At 36.7% G+C, this 15,350-nt stretch overlaps 1 long non-coding RNA gene across 1 annotated transcript in view; it reads right to left on the bottom strand.

Moving 5' to 3' along the window:
* Positions 1 to 11,278: 11,278 nt before the first annotated feature.
* The window catches only part of MIR548A1HG (MIR548A1 host gene), a 200,152-nt gene continuing 196,080 nt past the window's right edge, over positions 11,279 to 15,350 (bottom strand). The window contains exons 7-8 of the long non-coding RNA NR_149116.1: positions 13,623 to 13,746; positions 11,279 to 12,174 (exon numbers count right to left, since the gene is read on the bottom strand). This is a non-coding gene — a long non-coding RNA (MIR548A1 host gene). The remainder of the gene's footprint in view (positions 12,175 to 13,622; positions 13,747 to 15,350) is intronic.

The following is a 15,350-nucleotide window of genomic DNA, read 5'->3' as shown; positions in this document are numbered from 1 at the left end:
AACAGGAGAATTTTTCTCTAGTCAACAACTATGAAAAATCTGGTCAAAAATCAATAACAACTTTTCTTCTTAAGACATAATAGTGCTTGAAACAAGGAATTCATTGAATTATGTTAAAAGGCTTACATATCACTGAGAAAAAAATAAAATTTTTTCTAAATCAAAATACTCATTCCAGTGCCAGGAATCTAACTATGACATATAGAAAGTCATGAAGCACAATTGCTTCTGCCACAGAAACCAGAAAAAAAAGCAAAAGTAGATAGTATAAATAGAAAAATGGTAGACTTAACTCAACATTTGCATTAAATGTAAATGAAATAAACAGTCTATAAAAAGCCAGAGTTTGTCAGACTAAATCACAAAAAAAGGCCCCCAAATGTATATGCTTTGTACAGGAAACACATTAGTAAGTATATATCACAGATATGAGACACATATACTGACAGTAAGACAATAAAAAATGTTATACCAAACAATTGGAAACCAAAAAGTATGGTTATATTATTATCAGGAAAAGACTTCAACACACAGAATATGTTAAAGTCAGGAGAACATAACAACCCATGATATGAATGCACCAAGTAACATAACTTCAAAGTATTTTGAACAGATGCTCAGAAACTAGCTTTCTGACACCTGATTTTCTGTTAGACAGTATAGAACATTACATGTAGGAGTCTCTCCCCAGCAAATTGTTATTGGTATTAACATATTTCTTAATACAAAATATTCTGGCAAGTGTGCCTCACCTATCTTTAATAATAATGATGATAATAATAATAATGGCAACAGCTGTTAATAGTATTTGGATGATTTCAATCTTCCAGGCACTGTGCCAAGAAGTTTATTGGTTTTCCATAACAATTTTTCCTATTTCAAAGATAAAGAAACTAATGATTATAAAGAGGTTAAAGGATTTTTAAATGTTCATATTACCAGCAATGACTAGGCTAAGATTTGAAGTTCTTAAGTGCTCGCATTAACATTTTAAATGGAATTACTCTGATGTGCCAATGAGCCTTCTCTTTCCAGTAACTACTTAAGTAATTCAGACACTTGATTTGCAGCAAGGAAGAAGAGGAAAAAAATGAAGAGAACTTTGAGAAAAAGTAGGCAAATCAAGAGAATGTTGTGAGATGTGACATAAAGTCCATGGGTTGCTAGGAATAAGGAGGAATTGGATCATGACGGTAGTACAAAGATAGGTGTCAATCACAAAAAATAAATTCACCTGCTTTGTAATTTTGCCTTGGGCCAGTGTTCCCAACCTTGTAATAGAAACCAATATTGGCACAGTAGTAGCACATCTGGCTGCTGCCTAAGACTTTCTTGGAGATACATGGAACATTTCATGATTTTTATCCTATCAACTTTTACTTTTAGTTTGGGGGCACAGGTGCATGTTTGTTATGTGAGTAAATTGTGTGTCTTGGGGGTTTGGTGTACAAATTATTTCATCACCCAGGTAATGAGCATAGTACCCAATAGGTAGTTTTTTTGATGCTCACCCTCTTACCACCTCTACCCTCAAGTAGGTGCCAGTGTCTATTGGTCTCTTCTTAGGGTCCCTGTGTATTAAAGGTTTAGCTCCCACTTATAAATGAGGACATGTGGTATTTGGTTTTCTGTTCCTGCATTAGTCCACTTAGGATAATGGCTTCCAGTTGCATCTATGTTGCTGCAAAGGACATGATCTTCTTTCTTTTCACAGCTGCATAGTAGTAATATCCCATGGCATATACGTACCACATTTCCTTTACCCAGTCCACTGTTGATGGGCACCTATGTTGATTCCATGTCTTTGCTATTGTGAATAGAGCTATGATAAACATACATATGCATATGTCTTTATGGTAGAATGATTTGTATTCCTTTGGGTATATACTCAGTACTGTTATTGCTGGATCGAATATTACTTCTGTTTCAAGTTCCTTCAGATCTCTCCAAACTGTTTTCCACAGTAGCTGAACTAATTTACATTCCTGCCAACAGTTTTTAAGTGTCCCCTTTTCTCCACAACCTCACCAGAACATTCCCACCAACAGTATGTAAGTGTTTCCTTTTCTCCACAACCTCACCAGCACATTCCCACCAACAGTATGTAAGTGTTTCCTTTTCTCCACAACCTCACCAGCATCCGTTATTTTTTGACTTTTTAATAATAGCCATTCTGACTGTCGTGAGACAGTATCTCATTATGGTTTTGATTTGCATTTCCCTGAAGATTAGTGATGTTGAATATTTTTTCATATGCTTGTTGGCCACATGTATGTCTTCTTTTGAGAAGTGTCTGTTCATGGACTTTGCCCATTTTTAATGTGGTTATTTGCTTGTTGATTTCTTTAAGGTCCTTACAGATTTTGGATATAAGACCTTTGTTAAATGCATAGTTTGCAAATACTTTCTCCCATTCTGTAGGTTCCCTGTTTACTCTGTTGGTAGTTTCTTTTGCTGTGCAGAAGCTCTTTAGTTTAATTAGGTCCCACTTGTCTATTTCGGTTTTTGTTGCAATTGTTTTTAGAGTCCTTATCATAAAATCCTTGCCAGGGCCTATGTCCAAATGATATTTCTTAGATTTTCTTCTAGGACTTTTATAGTTTTAGGTTTTACATTTGAGTCTCTAATACAGCTTGAACTGATTTTTGTATATGATGAAAGGAAGGAGTCCACTTTCAATCTTCTGCATATGACTAGCCTGTTATCCCAGACCATTTAATAAACAGGGATTCCTTTCCTCATTATTTTTTATTGTCAACTTTATCAAAAATCAGATGGTTGTAAGTGTGCAGCTTTATCTCTGGGATTTCTAACCTGTTTCATTGGTTTGTGTACATGTTTTTGCACTCATACCATGCTGTTGTGGTTACTCTGGACTTAAAGCCAGGTAGTGTGATGCCTCTAGCTTTGTTCTTTTTGCTTAGGATTGCCTTGGCTATTCAGGCTTTTTTTAAATTCCATATGAATTTTACAATAATTTTTTCTAATTCTATGAAAAATGTTCTTAGTAGTTCGATGGAAATGACTTTGAATCTGTAAATTGTTTTGAGCAATGTGTCCACTTTAACAATATTGATTCTTCCTGTCTAGGAGCATAGAATGTTTTGCCATTTATTTGTGTCATCTCTGAATTCTTTCAGCAGTGTTTTGTAATTCTCATCGTAGAGATCACTTGCTTCCCTGGTTAGCTGTATTCCTAGATATTTTGTTCTCTTTGTGGCTATTATGAATGGGATCATAGTATTGTTTTGGCTCTCAGCTTGTTATTATTGGTGTATAGAAATGCTACTGATTTTTATACATTGATTTTGTATCCTGAAACTTTGCTGAAGTTGCTTAACAGAACTAGGAGCCTTTGGACAGACACTATGGTGTTTTCTAGGTATAGAATCATATCATCTACAAAGAAAAAATAGTTTGACTTACTCTCTCCTGTTTGGATGCCATTTATTTCTTTCACTGGCCTAATTGCTCTAGCTAGGACTTTCAGTACTATGTTGAAAGCAGCGGTGAGAGAGGGTGTCCTTGTCTTACTCCAGTTCTCAAGGGGAATGGTTCCAGCTTTTTCCCATTCAGTATGATGTTGGCTGGGGGTTTGTCATAGATAATTCTTATGACTTTGAGATATGTTCCTTTGATGCCTAGTTTGTTGAGGGTTTTTAACATAAAGAGATGTGGAATTTTATCAAAAGCCTTTTGTGTGTCTATTGAGATCATCATTGGTTTATGTTTGTAGTTCTGTTTATGTGATGAAATCACATTTATTGATTTACATATGTTGAATCAACCTTGTATTCCAGGAGTAAACCCTACTTGATTGTGGTGGATTAGCTTTGTGATATGCTGCTGGATTTGATCTGCTAATATTTTGTTGAAGATTTTTAAATCTATGTTCTTTAAGGATATTGGCCTGAAATATATATATATATATTTTTTTGAGACGGAGTTTCACTCTCATTGCCCAGGCTGGAGTTCATTGGCGCAATCTTGGCTCACCACAACCTCCACCTCCCTGGTTCAAGCGATTCTCCTGCCTCAACCTCTCGAGTAGCTGGGATTACAGGCATGTGCCACCATGCCCAGCTAATTTTGTATTTTTAGTAGAGATGGAGTTTCTCCATGTTGGTCAGGCTAGTCTCGAAATCCTGACCTCAGGTGATCTGCCCACCTTGGCCTCCCAAACTGCTAAGATTACAGGCCTGAATTTTTGTTTATTGTGTCCATGTCAGGGTTTGGTATCAGAATGATGCTGCCCTCATAGGATGAGTTAGAAAAGAGTCCCTACTTCTCAATTAGTTTCAGTAGGATTGGCCTAATTCTACTTTATATGTCTGGTAGAATTTGGCTATAAATACATCTGGGGATTTGGGCTATAAATACATCTGGCCCAGGGATTTTTCTGGTTGATCGGTTTTTTATTACTGATTCAATTTAGGAACTTGTTATTGGTCTTTTCAGAGTTTCAGTTTCTTCCTGGTTCAATCTTAGATGGTTGTACATTTCCAGGAATTTATCCATTTCTTCTAGGTTTTCTGGTTTGTGTGCATAGAGGTGTTGATAATAGTCTCTGGGTTTGGGTTTTTTTTTTTATTTCTGTAGGATTGGTAGTAATATTCCCTTTGTCATTTCTGATTGTGTTTATTTGGATCTTCTCTCTTTTTTCTGTATTAGTCTAGCCAGTGGTCGATCAATCTCGTATATTCTTTCAAAAAGCCAACTTCTGGTTTTGTTAGTCTTTTGTATTGTCATTCATGTTTCAATTTTGTGCAGTTCAGGTCTGATTTTGGTTTTGTTTTGTTTTTTTTTGTTGTTGTTGTTGTTTGTTTTTTTTTGCCTAGCTTTGGAATTGGTTTGTTCTTGTTTATTTTAGTTCCTCTAGGTGTGATGTTTGGTTATTAATTTGAGATATTTCTAATTTTTTGATGTGGGCATTTAGCATTATACCCTTTCTTCTTAATGCTGCTTCAGCTGTGTCACAGAGATTCTGGTAAGTTGTATCTTTGTTCTCATTAGTTTCAAAGAATTTCTTGATTTCTGCCTTAATTTCATTATTTACCCAGAAGTCATTCAGGGGCAGGTTGTATACTTTCCATGTAATTGTATGGTTTTGAGAGATCTTCTTAGTCTTGATTTCTATTTTTTTGCTCTGTGGTCCAAGATTATGGCTGGTGTAATTTCAGATTTTTTTAATTTGTTGAGAATTGCTTTATGGCTGAGCATGTCATCAATTTTAGAGGATGTACCATGTGCAAATGAGAAGAATGTACATTCTGTCGTTATTACGTGGAGCATTTTGTAGATGTTTGTTAGTTCTGTTTGTTCTAGTGTCAAGTATAGGTCCTGAATATCTTTATTAGATCTCTGCCCCAATGATCTGTCAAACACTGTCACTGGAGTGTTGAATTCTGCTACTATTATTGTGTGGTTATCTAAGTCTCTTTGTACATCTCTAAGAACTTGTTTTATAAATCTGGGTGCTCCAGTTTTGGGTGAATTCATATTTAGGATAGTTTTGCCTTCTTGTTGAATTGAACCCTTTATCATTATGTAATGCCCTTCTTTGTCTTTTTTATCTTTGTTTGTTTACGGTCTGTTTTGGCTGAAATAAGAATAGTGATCCTGTCTCTTTTTTGTTTTCTGTTTGCTTGACAGATTTTTCTCCATCCCTGTACTTTGAGCCTATAGGTGTCATTGCATGTGAGATAGGAATGAAGATAGCACACAATTTGGTCTTGCTTCTTTATCCATCCTGCCACTCTGTGCCATTTCAGTGGGGCATTTAGCCTGTTTACATTCAAGATTAATATTTATATGTGTAGATTTTATCCTGTCATCATGTTGTTAAATGGTTGTTATCTAGACTTGATTGCATAGTTACTTTAGAGTATCAATGGTCTATGTATTTCATTGTGTTTTTGTGGTGGCCAATAATGGTGATAAAAGAAAAGCTTCAGCCAAATTAAATTTAAAGGAGTTAGATTGAACAATGAATGATTTGCAAATCAGGCAGCTTTTCCAGTCAGAGTAGGCTTGGAGACTCCAGTGCAGACAAGGGGTGGAAGAAGATTTATGGACAGAAAAAGGAAAGTGATGTACAGAAAATGGAAGTGAGGTACAGACACAATTGGATTGATTACAGTTTGGTGTTTGCCTTATTTGGACACAGTTCAAACAGTTAGCTACATTTGATTGGCCAAAACTCAGTGATTGGCACAAGTGTAGGCTACTGTCTGTTCAGACCTCCACTAGTTATAGTTCACGATGTACAGAGAAATCTTTAGGCCAAACGTAAAATATCTAAGGAGGCAGCTTTAAGCTAAACTTGATTTAACAATTGGCCCCTTTGGCCATCTTCTCAACTTTGAGAGATTGACCAAAACTTTAGTCATTGGTGTTACTATCACCATTGTAAATGTATCTATTTGGTTTTAAAACCCATGGGGAAACAGTAGAACAGTGGGTTTTGCAAGGCTGGAACAAGGATTGAGTAGAGGGTACTTCCTTATGCTGGAATGTCCTGTTTGTTTTTCCTAGAGAAAAACAAAACCTGGTCTGTTCTAGAATCTATGTGATTCCTTAAAGTCTTACTTTGATCATGTCACATTTGGCACGAGCGACTCCATTTTGTTTCGGTCTGGTCTGTTGGGGCCTAGTGCATGAGTTCAGTCCAAAACAATAGCCTCTCAAAATTTTGTTTTAAAAAAATCCCTATTTTTTTGGTCATGCTCTCACTTAAGTGAGAGCTCACTTAAGTGAGAGCGTGACCAAAACTTGGGGCCTCAGTGCCACTCTCAGTTACCATCATTTTGGGTTTCTGGTCTCAGCATGTCATTCATAAATTACAGTGTCTTCATGGTTGCATATTTATTTCAGCTTTAGTCATTCCAGTTGAAGAAAAACCATTTGACATTCTAGCGATGGCTGTATGCAAACATTCAAAACTTCTGAGAGAATACAATGCACCAGGGAGACTACTGTTATGACTACTGGGAGGATAATACCAAGAGCTTGAAGTATGCTTCTTACCCAGGGTTCCTATAACCAAACCACCTAAAATCAATAGATCAAAGAACGAGCTAGATAAAGGGTCTACTCACTTAACTAAGCAGTCTCTTGGCTAATCTCCTACAAATGAATCTCTATACTATCCAATGTTTTCTCCACAGGCCACAAGTGCCAGCAGCTGCACAGATACTTCTATTTAGTAGTAAGTAATCTAAAGCAATTTTATTATTTAGCATAACTCTCACAAGAGAATTTAAAGTGTGTTGTGTAACCATGGCCTTTACAGTAGAATCTGCTATAGAGTCTGTCATGACGGATACATTTTTAATCATTGCCTCTTTAATTCCATACCATAGAAAAAGGACCTAACAAATGAGGCCCTTCTAGAAGAATGAAGACCTTCTGGCAGCATTCTCTTTAACCCATGATGGAGGCTAAGAGGAGTGAACCAGTGTTCTGTTCCTGGCAACTATGAGGCAATGTATGTACCATTGAAGTTTCTCACCTACACTGGGCTTTCGTCTTTTATTTATCAAGGTATAAAGTTACATATGTATAAGGCTGGCTGTAAAACCCTTCACAGATAAAAGTATACTCTATAAGTGCAAACAACAGACCCTCTTTTCACTTCTATTGTTCATAGAGGAATAAGAAAGGGTAAAATATTCAAAGATAAGAGTCTCATGATAGTAGAGAAGTCTTGATCCATGACCTTGGGAAAAGCTGTTCACATCAGGGATGCCATCTTTTCTGGGGAGAAATTTATGTGGTTAGTTTTACCTTAAGGGTTCCAATGGGTGTACAGTTCCAAGAATGTGGAGGGACCCTCTTCAGTTGTGAGATTATGAACCCAAAGTTCAAGGTCCCAAAGTTTTGTTGCAGTGTGGATGGCAAGAGCAGTCTTTCTCTGATGTTCTCAGAAGATCCAATCGTCGGGTTCTAGACTGTGAAGGAGCTGATTGTCCTCAGTCAGTGAACCATAAAAAGCATTCTTTACCTGGTGAAAATAGTCTATGGCATAATAATCTACTGTTATAACATCAGCCCTCTTGCATGGGAAAGCTTTTTTACAAGCAGAAAACATGTATTGAAAATGACAATTGAATGAAATCCCTCTATAAATTTTTAAATGGCCCATCAGGTAGCCAAATGTACTGAAGCTTTGATTGTCTTTCCAGGAATATGGGTTTAACCAACTAAACATTGGTCATAAACTATTTTAGCAATTTAGAAGTCACCGAACCAATATATATTTAATTTGGATCATTTTATCTATTCCATGATGAGTCATGGAATGCAGAACCTTTAATAATAAAAGCTTTAAGGACTCAGAAAGGGCAAGGCAGCCATTCTGGTTCTCCATGAGTCTATGCTTAACATTGGATCTAAGTTCTCTTGAATACCGGTCATTTCTCCAATTTAGGTGCATAGTACTGATAACTGATAGGTTATCATAGGTAATTTGACTTAGACCATGGAGTTCATTCAAATTGTATATCTAAACAATTTCAGTATCAGCTGACTTAGCATAAAAATCTAGCTAAGTATTTTCTTGGTATTCAATTAATTTTTGTTCTATTTGGGTTAGCAGTTTTATAAACCAGTCAGTCTTTTCATTAGAGACTGGAATTCTTACACAGTCCAAACGATGATTTTAAAGTTACCAGAAACCTGTATTCAAGAGTGCTTTGAATACAGGTTTCCTTTCCTTCCTTTCATGAACCTCTTAGGAGATACCATATTCTAGGATTTTACATGCTTGTGAAGTTTGCAGAAACTGCATCAGCATTAAACATCTAACTGTGGAAATGACTTTAAACAGTCATAGTTAAAAACCCAATTGACAAAAAATATGGTCATTTCTGTGGTCTACAATAACTTAACATAATAATCATAATTATGATTGATAGCATATGCTCAGACATGTTAGAATTTTAGAAATCCCATATAATTTTGGAACATATATTAATATCATTCACTAAAACATAACCTGAAGAACATTAAACATTATTTTTTATTTTGGCAATGCTTCCCGTGTAATTTAACATGTCAAATAATACTGTTGACCTCTCTTTTGAATGCTTCGGGACCCTTTGCAGCATCTCAAGGTTAGAGGTTAGAAAAGACAATTTTGAAGGTGAAATTTGATTTTTGAAAGCCTATTAAATACGTTAAAGGTTTAAAACACTTGATATTATGAAATAGAATTCCAGGTCACCATTCATTTAGCCAAAGTGATGACTCAAAAATTTTAAAAAGGCAAAAACCTTTACTCATTGATAGAAGGAAGACTTAGCTTTCCAAACAATACGTCTCTTGTCTTTTCCTTCTTATTTTTGGTAGTTTATTTAAAAGGGAAACAAAATTTTTTTATTATCACTTAATATTACATGAAAATCTTATTCAAGAGAGAAAGTCAAATTTCACCCTTGCATTAGGGTACTATTAATGTCAATCTCAATTTTTAATAAAACCTTATAGATAAATCTATTCAGCCTTCATCATCAAAAGGTGAGATTCTCATAAACCTTTTATAACCCTTTACAAATTCTTGTTAAAAAGCAAGTCAGTGCCCTAAGAAAACCCTGTTGTGTTTTTGTTCCAATGTTCAATTTATGGAAAATACTGAATAATACTCCTTTAATGTTAGCCAATGTGTTTACACACAGAATTTCTTTTACGAGATCGATTTTCACAAACCTTCCATAACTAGCTCAAACCTTCAGCTTTATCCCAACTAAAAGCAATCCTTTAACCCTTTAATCTAGGTCAAAAAAAATCCACATTAACATACCTTCATATACGCTTTCACCAAAAACACATTTCACTTCCCTTACACACCTTGCATGTAAAACTGTTTCTTCAGTAGTCTCAATTACATGCTACATTATTAACTCTTAGCAATTTTGAAAAAATGGTTAGTAAGCAATTTTAATTATGTACTAGGTTTGGAGCCTAGAACACCAGACAGAAGTGCAGGTAAGGTCTGACTTTTTCCAGCATAGCTAGGGGTATGGCTAACGGCTAACTCCATATGTCCCCAGGTCTTACCTAGCTGTAAAGCAGACAAGCTGAAAAATTTTCAAAAGCCAAAGAAGCGGTTTATGACATTAAAGCATTGAGTAAACCTAATATCTGACCTGTGTAATTTAGACCAAATGTCTTTATTTTACCAATAATCTTTAAAATTGTTTTTATTTTCCAAAGATTACTAAAGTCACATGAACTAAAAGGCATTACACTTTTTACTTTTCTGACAATATATGATTTAAACACCTATTATTTTTAAGCCAACTAATCAGAGCTTTTTTACATATAAACATCACACACACAGCACATACATATAAATACACAGACAGACAGAAGATCCAGTAGTTGTAAGATTTTTAGTTTACCAGTTTCTTAATTGGATTACTGGCTTTAGGGTGGTGCCCTTGGAGGAACAGAATCAGGAAATCATGCAGTTTCCACAGCCTAATAAGTGGGCACAGCTGGAAGACAAAAACAGATCTCCAAAAGTAAGGGTCCCACTTTTATATCACATCCTGGATCCCCAAAAAGAGGGAAATGCTATGGGAGAAGACAATGCAATGCTTTTATCATGCATTTTATTACAAAGCAACCCAAAGCCAATCAGCCGATTCTGTGATCAACCCATCCCCCATGGGAGTCTTATCTCAGTGGGGGTAGGGACATTTCCATACTTTCTAGGTGGCCAAGAGCATGCTTCTGTGATTCAAAGGTGCAAAGAGTTGAGTATTCCCCCCAACTGCCATTAGCTATCCCCAAAAGTATATATTATACACCAAAGCTTTCTCATAATGCAAAGATACCCCCAAAAGTCAAAAATTGTCAGATAACGCAATGTAAAACAAAACAGAGCTTTAAATTTTGAGAGGGATCTATCCGCTTTTAACCATAGTACTCTAAAAGTCCTTTTAAATCCTCTTATTACCTGACTTTAGCCAGGCCAAATGGCCAATATTTCTGGCTTTTGAATTTTACCAAAGGTAACCTTCTAGGTGCTGAGAGAGAGGAAAATTCAAGACGGTTCATGGAGGGGAAGAGATTCAACAAATGGTAAAAGTCATGCAGACATCACCAAAAAAGACTCATTCCCTAAGCCAAGACTGAACCCGGGCTACCACTGTGAAAAGGCAAAGCCTTAGCTACTAAAGTACAAAACTGGGTAGTTTCCATTGCTCTTCCCAGAAGGAGCCTAGAGTAGAGCAGTTAATTTTGAGCTCACAAAAGCTTTTTTTTTTTTTTTTTTGAGATGGAGTCTCGCTCTGTCGCCCAGGCTGGGGTGCAGTGGAGCAATCTTGGCTCACTGCAACCTCCACCTCCTGGGTTCAGTGGTTCTTTCCTGCCTCAGCCACTAGAGCAGCTGGGATTACAGGCATGTGCCACCATGCCCAATACTAAGTTTTGTATTTTTAGTAGAGATGGGGTTTCACCATATTAGCCAGGCTGGTCTTGAACTCCTGACCTCAAGTGATGTGCCAGCCTCGGCCTCCTAAAGTGCTGGGATTACAGATGTGAGCCACAGTACCAGGCCTCTTTCTTTTTAATAAAGGCAAGATCTTGCTCTGTTACACAGGCTGGAGTACAGTGGTGTGGTCACAAAGGCTTTTACTGTTCAATAATTTTTAGGGCTATGACATGAATCCCCCAATTCCTGTTCCTTACATGGCAGAGACCAAGAGAAAGTATTGCCACATGGTTATGAGGTCAAATTCCCAAGGACATAAAACAAGATGGAAACCTCATCCAGTTTTTTGTTTGTTTCAGGTAACTGCAACAAAGTTTGTTACTGACCAGCTTGCTGGGCCATCTTGAATAGTGAGCTTATGGGGTCCTAAGCCCATGTTCTATCCTAACATACTCCTCTTTATGACAAAACCATACAGAAGACACACAAAGCACATCGCATTTGCTACAGCTTAGGTCTAGCCTCAGAAGCCTTTTTTCATATTAATTAGAACTTTACAGAAGAGATAAACAGTGATTTTTACCATTCATCCAACCATTTTGCACAGAAAGAGAGAGGTGAGAAGTCTGACTGGTAAGAAATTCTTACCCTTTTGCCAGCATGCCAGGCTTCTGGATTCCCTTTCTCTGAGCAGCCCTACTGAGCCTGTTCACCACACTATAGCCGTGGAGGTCAAGCTGCAAGACAAAAGAAAATCTTTGTTGTTTGTTTGTTTCATGGAACCACAGGCAACAGTCTCTCAGTTTTGTAAGATGCTGTCCAAGGGGTTGCATGGGGTAAGCAAATTACCATTTTCCATTCCAGCCAGAGCAAAATATGTGTGACAAAACATGGACATTAGCCACTCTGCTTAGTGCCCAATATCAAACTGGCCAGACTCAAACTTGCCCCCAGATGGGTCCTGTCATCTTTAATCCATTCAAAGTGGATAAAGGAGTTTCAACATGTGGACTCTGGGCAAGATGGTTGCCCTGGGTAACAGAAAAGATAAGAAAAGGAAAAGAGAGAAAGGGAAAAAGGCATTGCCTGTGGCAGGGTGGGGAAGGTAAGAAACTCAGGGTGGCCAGAGAAAGACCCACTCATTGCAGTGATACTGAATCAAAACTCCAGGCAGCCACTTGTCACTTGTCAGTCATGCAGGGATCTTTTCCACCAGTCCTACCAGCTCTTAAGCTTCCCCTTTAGGGAAAAAAAAGGTTCCCTATGTCCCATGATCCTGTACATGCCTAATCCTATCAAGATGGCAAGGCAGATTAATTCAAAGAGAATAGTGGTTAACATCCCATAGTGCCAAATCCATTTTTAACCAAAAGGGACTTTACCTAGGGGCAGGCCAGTAACCCAATCCCATCCTTTACCCAGGTAAAATGTACCATATTACTTACCCAAAGTTAGCCAATTGCTGCTGCAGTCTACTTCCTTTAGATGTAACTAAGCTAAAAGGTTAGCAGATTTAATTTTTGTAATCAATTCGTCGCTTAAGCTTTATACTTGCCTTTCGTAAAGTCTTTAAATAAAAATACTGAAATACTTTTAGAAGCTTCTGCATATCAATAGGCATCCCTAGATGAAACTAATCTGGGAGCCCTCATTTTCAAATGCACTTCAGTGTTTTGTTGTTCATTTGGAACATTCCACTATAAGTTATCCTTAGTAAGATTTTACCATTTCTGTAAGACTTCACTGCTTCTGGGGCCTAACACACATGTATAAGCCAGAAGGAACTCAGCTCTTCAGAAATTAAGAATCCCATTTTTACTTAAGATAATGGCTTTGCTCTCAAGTTCCCTTGATTAACTTAGCCAATGATTTTTTTTCCTACCTAAGCATGCAAGAAAAATGAAACAAAGGAGTAGAACACAAAATCCCTGTGAATTTCCAAAAGCCAAATTTTATATCCCCTGCAATATTACCATTTACTACCAGCTTCTTCCTGACCCAGTCAGATGTAAGCAGCCTCTAACTGGATCCAAGCCAGTTAACTGCCAGATTAAATCCAATCCTGGATCCAGTTTAGTTTCTACTGTGACTTCCAAACCCAGTTTGGATCAGAAATTTGCTCAAAGAAACTTGGAGAGCTCAAAACACAAACCTGTGGAGCTCCAAAATCTGAAAGAGAACTTACCATGATCCCCAGCTGCTCCAAGAGATCACTGAACACAAAAGGGTCCTGCAGGTACCTCACTTGGTCACTCAGCACTCCTAGAGGTCATTAGAAGCTCTACTTCAGATCCCACTTCTGACGCCACCTGAAAAAAAAAAAAAAAAACTTCAGCCAAATTAAATTTAAAGGAGTTTAATTGAGCAATGAACAATTCACGAATCAAGCAGCTTTCCCAGCCAGCACAGGCTTGGAGACTCCAGTGCAGTCACGTGGTGGAAGATTTATGGACAGAAAAAGGAAAGTGACATACAGGAAATGGAAGTCAGGTACAGAAACAACTGGATTGGTTACAGCTCCTCGTTTGCTTATGTGAACATGGTTTGAACAGTGGGCTACATTTGATTGGCCAAAACTCGGTGATTGGCACAAGTGTAGGCTAGCCTGTTTATACCTCTGCTTGTTATAGTTCAGTATGTACAGAGAAACTCTTAGCCCAAAATTAAAGTATGTAAGGAGGCAGCTTTAGGCTAAACTTGACTTAACAATGGTCTTTTCTTTCCATGTTTAGCATTCCATTAAGGACCTCTGGTGAGGCAGGTCTGGTGATAATGAATTCCCTTAACATTTGCTTATCTAAAAAGAATTTTAGACACGAAACAAGAAGTATTTCAAAAAGTATACCAAGCTTCTCTACAAAGAAAGCTATTGAAAGTTGTGCATCAACAAAATGAGAGAGTAAATCAATAAAGAGGAAGATTGGGCCCGGGTAAGAGCATATTCAATATGGGAGAAAGGATAAGATAATCTCCTGAATGAAGGCAAAAGGAAGTCCCAGGACAGCAGTTGTGCAGGATGCCTGAAAGAAAGCTGTCCAGGTTGAAGCAAGTGAGAAAGAAAGCAAAAGAGGAAAAATAAGGATCTAACCATTCACCTGGTAGTTGTATTGAAGTCATTGGGAATAAGAGGAGAATTAGAATCAGTGTCATATGAACTAAGCAAACAAAAAATTTGAGACAATTTTTAACAGCAGGAAAACAAATGTTTTAGAAGACAAAATCCTCAGACATAGGTTTTAATATGTGACTTGGAGTAAGTTATATTTCATGAAATATTATGCTATTTTATAATCATAAAATGTAAACTTAACAATATTATTAATAAAAAAATTTGAAATATAATTACATTGGAAAGGAAGGGCAGCAAATAGGGTGAGGGACAGAGGAGAGAGAAAGACCAAATTCTCAAGTACTGTAGAAAGAAGTGGATAAAATACCTCTAAAAATGGTGACCCAAGCAATAGTAGTACAAGAATATCATTTATAATAAAGTTTCAATTATTTTGATATAAACAAAATATAAAGAAAATTGATATAAATATATATCAAAATATAAACAAAATATAAGCAAAATTGATATAAGCATATATCAAAATATAAGCAAAATTGATATAAACAAAATAATTGAAACTATTTTTCTTTTAGAAGTGAGACTGGTGGAGAAAGATACCAGTGTTCTTAATTATAAGCCTTTAATGACATGTGCCTTTAACAATATGTGTATATTACTTTGATTTTAAGGATCTTTAAAAACAAATACAACAGGGTTACATAGATCTGTTTCTCTCATAGGATGTTCCTAATGTGCAACTGAATGAAAAAGCCATGATGCATTAATGCTTGTGGTAAATTTCTTATTTTTCACAAACTCAAAAAGAAACAAATACACTTTACATGTGTGTAGGAGTATGAC

This window comes from Homo sapiens, chromosome 6, assembly GCF_000001405.40.
Source record: "Homo sapiens chromosome 6, GRCh38.p14 Primary Assembly".
Classification (NCBI taxonomy): Eukaryota; Metazoa; Chordata; class Mammalia; order Primates; family Hominidae; genus Homo; species Homo sapiens.
The sequence above is the reverse complement of the archived record's forward strand: the minus strand, read 5'-3'. Positions and strand labels throughout refer to the sequence as shown.